At 47.0% G+C, this 6,520-nt stretch overlaps 1 pseudogene, besides 1 other annotated feature; it reads right to left on the reverse strand.

Moving 5' to 3' along the window:
* Window positions 768-1,782, reverse strand: SUMO2P21 (SUMO2 pseudogene 21; annotated as a pseudogene).
* Window positions 1,267-1,780: an enhancer, noted in NCBI's record as "H3K4me1 hESC enhancer chrX:114953159-114953672 (GRCh37/hg19 assembly coordinates)". NCBI's record gives its function as "activates a minimal SCP1, AML or CMV promoter by ChIP-STARR-seq in naive H9 embryonic stem cells {active_cell/tissue: H9 hESC(naive)}" and the evidence as "EXISTENCE:reporter gene assay evidence [ECO:0000049][PMID:30033119]".

Here is a 6,520-nt window from a genome sequence, read left to right on the forward strand (position 1 = left end):
ACCAATTTTAGAACATTTTTCTAAAATGAAAGCTCCCCTCCCCTCCCCTTCTTTCCAGAGTTTTGCTCTTGTTTCCTAGGCTAGAGTACAATGGTGCAATCTTGGATCACCGCAACCTCCGCCTCCCAGGTTCAAGCAATTTTCCTGCCTCAGCCTCCAAAGTAGCTAGGATTACAGGTGTGCACCACCATGCCCAGCTAATTTTGTATTTTTAGTAGAGATGGGTTTTCTTCCTGTTGGTCAGGCTGGTCTCGAACTCCTGACCTCAGGTGATCCTCTTGCCTTGGCCTCCCAAAGTGCTGGGATTACAGGCATGAGCCATGGCACCCAGCCAAAAGCTCCATCTCTATTAGTAGTCATTCCTTATTCCCCCTTCCCCAGCCCCTGGCATCCACTAATCTACTTTGTGTCTGTTTAGATTTGCCTATTCTGGCCATTTCATATAAATGAGATCATGCAATCTGCATTCTTTTGTGTCTGGTTCTTTATTATAATATTTTTAGGGTTAAATCCGCATTGTATTATGTATCTGTGCTTCATTCCATGTTATGGCTAAAATAATCCATGGTATGCATATAGCACATTTGTTTAAACATTCACCAGTTCATGGGCATTTGGGTTGTTTCTCCTTTTGGGTTTTATGAATAATGCTGCCACAAACATTCATGCATAACTTTTGTTTGAATATCTGTTTTTAGCTCTCGGGTATATACTTAGGAGTGGAATTGCTGGATCACATGGTAAACCTATATTTAACTTTTTTTTTTTCATTTTAAACAAGCAGTTTATTTAAACAAGACGCTTGACTTGAAGGGAAAAGTATCTAGGATTCTTTTTTGTTTTAGAGTAATTTATCCCTACTTAAAGACAGATTGCCCTACATGTAGCAGCTATGTACGAAAAAGTTATAAAATTGTCCTTGGTTTTACAATGATAAATGAAAATCATTAAAATTCTCCAATTGAAAAAGGTATGCAAGGATTTTTATGTTGTTGTTGTTGTTGTTTTTGTTAAAACAGTGAGAGCAAAATAACTTACTGGAATATAAAGATAAGAGCTGAATGAGCATGCCACTAATGGAGAAAGGGGGTATTTTCACAGAATCAGTATTTTTCCCCATCCCATCTCCACTTGATGTCAATCAAAACATATCATTGGCTGTTTAGTTAAAAAAAATGCAATATGCTTGTGTACATATACCAGTTACTTTATGTACAATAAAGGAATAGGGAAGGGGGAAATGAAAGAATAGAGAAAACTATACGGTAGTAGTCAGGATGTGGTGGAACCAAATTGCAGTTTTCTAATTGAGAATGTAATCTTGGTCTTTAAAGAACAGAGTTCTGGAGTAAAGAAGCAGGTTCCCTTTTCAGTAGACACCTCCCGTCTGCTGTTGGAACACATCAATTGTATCTTCATCCTCCATTTCCAACTGTGCAGGTGTGTCTGTTTCATTGATTGGTTGCCCGTCGAATCGGAATCTGATCTGCCTCACTGACAATCCCTGTCGTTCACAATAGGCTTTCATTAGTTTACTAAGTGGTGTATGCCTCTTAATCTTAAACTGCACCACAGAACCATCCTGCCCCGCCACCTTCAAATTAATATGATCGTTGTTCTCAGTCTTGACTCCTTCCTTGGGTTTTTCGTCGGCCATGGCAAGCGCCGGAATCTCCTCAGCTGCCGTTTCACAAAAGAGGTACCAGGTCCGCACCAAACGAGCACACAAGCAGCACCAGGAGCTGCAGAAGAAGGAGGCGGCAGCGATGGACCAGGGCAGAGGGTGCGCGCACGTCGTGCGCTCCCTGCCTCCACCCTGCGTGCGCGAGCACGAGCCGCCGGAGCCTCCCATTCTGTTTAACTTTTTTTATTATTTCAATAGGTTTTGGGGAAACAAGTGGTGTTTGATTACATGGATAAGTTCTTTAGTGGTGATTTCTGAGATTTTGGTGCACCCATTACCGGAGCAGTGTACACCGTACCCAATGTGTAGTCTTTTATCCCTTGCCTCCTTCCCACCCTCCCCCAACCCACATCCCCAAAGTCCACTGTGTATCTATTTTTTAGATGGAGTCTCTTTCTGTCACCCAGGCTGGAGTGCAGTGGAGCGATCTTGGCTCACTGCAACCTCTGCCTCCTGGTCTCAAGCGATTCTCCTGCCTCACCCTCCTGAGTAGCTGGGATTACAGGTGCGTGCCATCACACCCAGCTAATTTTTATATTTTTAGTCGGGGGGGGGGGCGGGTTTCACTATGTTGGCCAGGCTGGTCTTGAACTCCTGACCTTAAGTAATCCATCTGCCTCGGCCTCCGAAAGTGCTGGGATTACAATTACAGGTGTGAGCCATCCCGCCTGACCCATTGTATCATTCTTATGCCTTTGTGTCCTCACAGCTTAGCTCCCGCTTGTTAGTGAGAATAAACAATGTTTGGTTTTCCATTCCTGAGTTACTTCACTTAGAATAATGGTCTCCAATTCCACCCAGGTTGCTGTGAATGCCATTATTTAATTCCTTTTATGACTAAGTAGTAGTCCATGGTATGTATATATATGTGTGTGTGTATATATATATATATATATACACACACACATACATACACATATATTCGTCACTCATTGATGGGCATTTGGGCTGGTTCAATATTTTTGCAATTGCGAATGGTGCTGCTACAAACATGCGTGTGCAAGTGTCTTTTCTGTATAATGACTTCTTTTCCTCTGGATAGATACCCAGGAGTGGGATTGCTGGATCAAATGGCACTATGGTTAACTTTCTGTGGAAGTGCCAAATTGCTTTCGATAATATTAAATATCTATCTACATCATTTTACTTTCCCACTAGCAGTGTATGACAGTTTCAATTTCTCTACATCTTCACATACTTTTTTGTTTGTTTGTTTTGATTTTGTTTTTTTGAGACCAAGTCTTGCTGTGTCGCCCAGGCTGGAGTGCAGTGGCGTGATCTCGGCTCACTGCAAGCTCCGCCTCCTGGGTTCACGCCATTCTCCTGCCTCAGCCTCCTGAGTAGCTGGGACTACAGGCGCCCGCCACCACGCCCGGCTAATTTTTTGTATTTTTAGTAGAGACGGGGTTTCACTGTGTTAGCCAGGATGGTCTTGATCTCCTGACCTCGTGATCCGCCCATCTCGGCCTCCCAAAGTGCTGGGATTACAGGCGTGAGCCACCGCGCCTGGCCTCACACACTTGTTATTTTCAATTTGGTTTTTTTTCTAGCCATCCTAATAAGTGTGAGGTGTATCTCCTTGTGAGTTTCCTTTGTATTTGCCTATTTGCCTAAATGAATGATATTGAGCAGCAGGTTTTTTTTTTTTTTTTTTTTTTTTTTTTTAGATGGAGTTTCGCTCTTGTTGCCCAGGCAGGCATCCTGTACTGAGCTGCTTGGCCGTTTGCATGGAGAAAGCAAAGGATTTGCAGCATGAGAGCCTGGCATGTTTGGTTCCATCCTGCCACCTTAATTCACCTTGGCAAAACCATTTAGCCTCTGTAGACCTTGGTTTCCTGGCACAATGAGTGCTTATTGAATCTGTCCGTTCAGGGAATGTAGACAGAAAAAAGGCTATGACTTAGTTCTCTGTGTCAGGCGATGGACATTCCTCCCTTAAATAAAGGAGGAGAAAGACAGGGAAGTATCCAGAGAGGGGCAGCTGAGATTCATAGCTCAGTTACTTTTTGGGTAATTCCACCTGGGGTGAGGGGAAAGCTCTTTTCAGTTTCCATTTTCTACAACGTGGAGTTGTGCAGAGCCTTAAACCCTCCCCCAACTCTCCCCTTAGCAGGTGAAGGCAGCTGCCTGACAAGAATAAAGCATCACCTGTGCCCATTTATGCTCCTCCTCCCCCCACCTCCTGGTAATTCCCACCCACCTCTGCCCAAACCGCAAGGGAATGAGTAAGAGAAAAGGTCTGGGAGTATCTGGCAGCAGGTGGTCTTGGGGTGGGGGTGGCGGACTGAGAGTGTGAACGTCAGTTGGTGAGGAGTGAAATGGAGCCAGGAAATTCTGAGAAGTTGGAGCTGGTCAAAGACCAGTTGTAGTGCCCTCAGAGGCCTTAGATTTCTTTTTAAGTGTCTCTTTTAAGGTGAGTTCACTGGAGAGTGTACGTGGGCAGGAATGACTTTGGTTCCCACTGAAAACACGTTTCCATTTGTGAAAAAAAAAATTCTCCCAAAAACCAATCAAGGACTACATTGTGAAGAGAAAAAAAAAAATTCCACAACATCTTCACAGTCAAGTTTTTAAGCAACCCGAATAGCTTGCATGATTCCCATGAGCCTTGGGAACTCACCAGGCTATTATTTTTAAAGGACCTTTATTTGCATCTCCCCTCCCCTTAGGGAACAAGGTGCTGGGAGGATGCATGCCCCAAGTTAACACTCCTCAGAGTACTGTCATCAACAGATTATCTTCATTTTCCTTAATACGCTACAGGTGTCTCCATTCTGCAAGAGCAGCAAGTCCCTTTTTTTTTTTTTTTTTTTTTGAGACGGAGTTTTGTTCTTGTTGCCCAAGCTGGAGTGCAATGGCGCGATCTCGACTCACCACAACCTCCGCCTCCCAGGTTCAAGCGATTCTCCTGCCTAGGCCTCCTGAGTAGCTGGGATTACAGGCATTCGCCACCAAGCCCGGCTAATTTTGTATTTTCAATAGAGACAGGGTTTCTCCATGTTGGTCAGGCTGGTCTCGAACTCCCGACTTCAGGTGATCCACCCGCCTCGGCCTCCCAAAGTGTTGGATTACAGGCGTGAGCCACCGCGCCCGGCCGCAAGTCCCTTTTTTCAAAAGAAAATATCAATCAGAGGACTGGTCAGGCAGGGGAAACCTGCGAGTCGCTGTCACTCCTTCGGCCTCAGCACATCCCCACCCACCTAGGCGGCATACGCGCCACCAGCAGCATCCCCTGGAAGGCTGCAGAAGCAGCGCTGGGCCCCTAGCAGTTCCAGAAAAAAAGTGGGAGGTGATAGGGCACCGGCAGTGTCTGGTCTTGGGAAGACGCCTCTCACCTGGGGAGGGAACAATTGAAGCTTTCAATAACGTCAGGCATACAGATGATACAAACTTATAACATCGCCTGAAAGTGTACTTGCTTAAGCTTCTTTTTCCTCTAAACCGTTTTGTGAATGTTAAACAGTAAACTTTTCATTTTCTCGATACATCAGTCTCCTTTGCCCTCTTGCCAGCGAAGACCTTACTCAAAGGAAACAAATGGGACAAATAGGTACTCCTCAGCAATTAGCTAAGACAAGAGGTTTCCCACCCAACTTTCCCAAAGCTGCCTCTCTCCGCCCCTTCTTGCACCAGGAGCAGGCTGAGGACACCCCACTCCTACCCTGGGCGGAGCAGGCTCTAGGAAGACCGGATTCCTCTCCCTTCCCCTCCCCGGATTCTTTCAGCCCTCACCTCCCAGGAATGGGGAGGGGGCATCCTACCCCATATCTGAGGTGCGACTGCGGGACGTAGAGCGGACTGGGCCTTTCCCGTTGGCGCGTGGCCTCAATCAGGTAGGTCTCCTTCGCCTTTTCTTTCCTTTATTTGCCTTTCCTTTCCTTGACACAGGACACGAGATCAGGGTTTGTGCCATGGGCAGCCTTTCTGGTGCAGAGGACCTTCCCTGCCCTCCGGCTTCTGGGCAGCCAGTGCTGGGCGCGCGACCTTGTGCAATGGCGGCTGCAGCCGAGCTGGCTCCAGCGTCCTGCAGGCATCGGAGGGCTTTCGGGCGCGTTTTGGACGCCGAGTTTTTGCCGCTGCCTAAGTTTTAGTTCTGGCAAGTGTAGGGAGGTCCTTCTAGTAGAGCCTTTCTGGCCTTCCCCGTCGGGAGCCTGGAAGCGTCTCCTGTGGCAGGGCGGGCAGAGGGAGAAGGGTGCGCCTGCAGATTCCTTCGCCCCACTGGTGTTCTCCCCACCTACATGGCTGAGGAGGTGTGCGCTCTCGTTCGGTTTAGATTGAGTGGTTGTTAAACCACGTGGCTGCCCTGCCCACAGGCAGGGCTCCCCGTAATGTAACACTGTAGAAGAAACATTTCCTCTAACGAATAATTGAACAAAAAGAAATACAGCTTCAGGCCGGGCGCAGTGGCTCACGCCTGTAATCCCAGCACCTTGGAAGACTAAGGCGGGAGAATCACTTGAGACCAGGAGTTCGAGTCCAGCCTGGCCAACATGGTGAAACGCCGTCTCTAAACAAAAATTAGCCACGCATGATGCCGCGGGCCTGTAGTTCCAGCTACTCTGGAGGCTGGGGCGGGAGGATTGCTTGTGCCCAGGACTTTGCCACTGCAGTGAACTGGGATTGCTCCATTGCACTCCATCTTGGGCATCAGAGCCAGAGCCCTTCTTTTAAAAAAAGAAAGAAAAACGGCAATATACTTCATTTCCATATATGCACTTAACAACGTGGAAAGACAAGCCCTCAAAATTTTCAGGGACTTGCCTGGGCGAGGTGGCTCACACATTTAATCCCTGGACTTTGGGAGGCCAAGGCGGGCGAATCACAGGGTCAGGAGTT

Source organism: Homo sapiens, chromosome X, assembly GCF_000001405.40.
Source record: "Homo sapiens chromosome X, GRCh38.p14 Primary Assembly".
In the NCBI taxonomy this organism is placed as follows: Eukaryota; Metazoa; Chordata; class Mammalia; order Primates; family Hominidae; genus Homo; species Homo sapiens.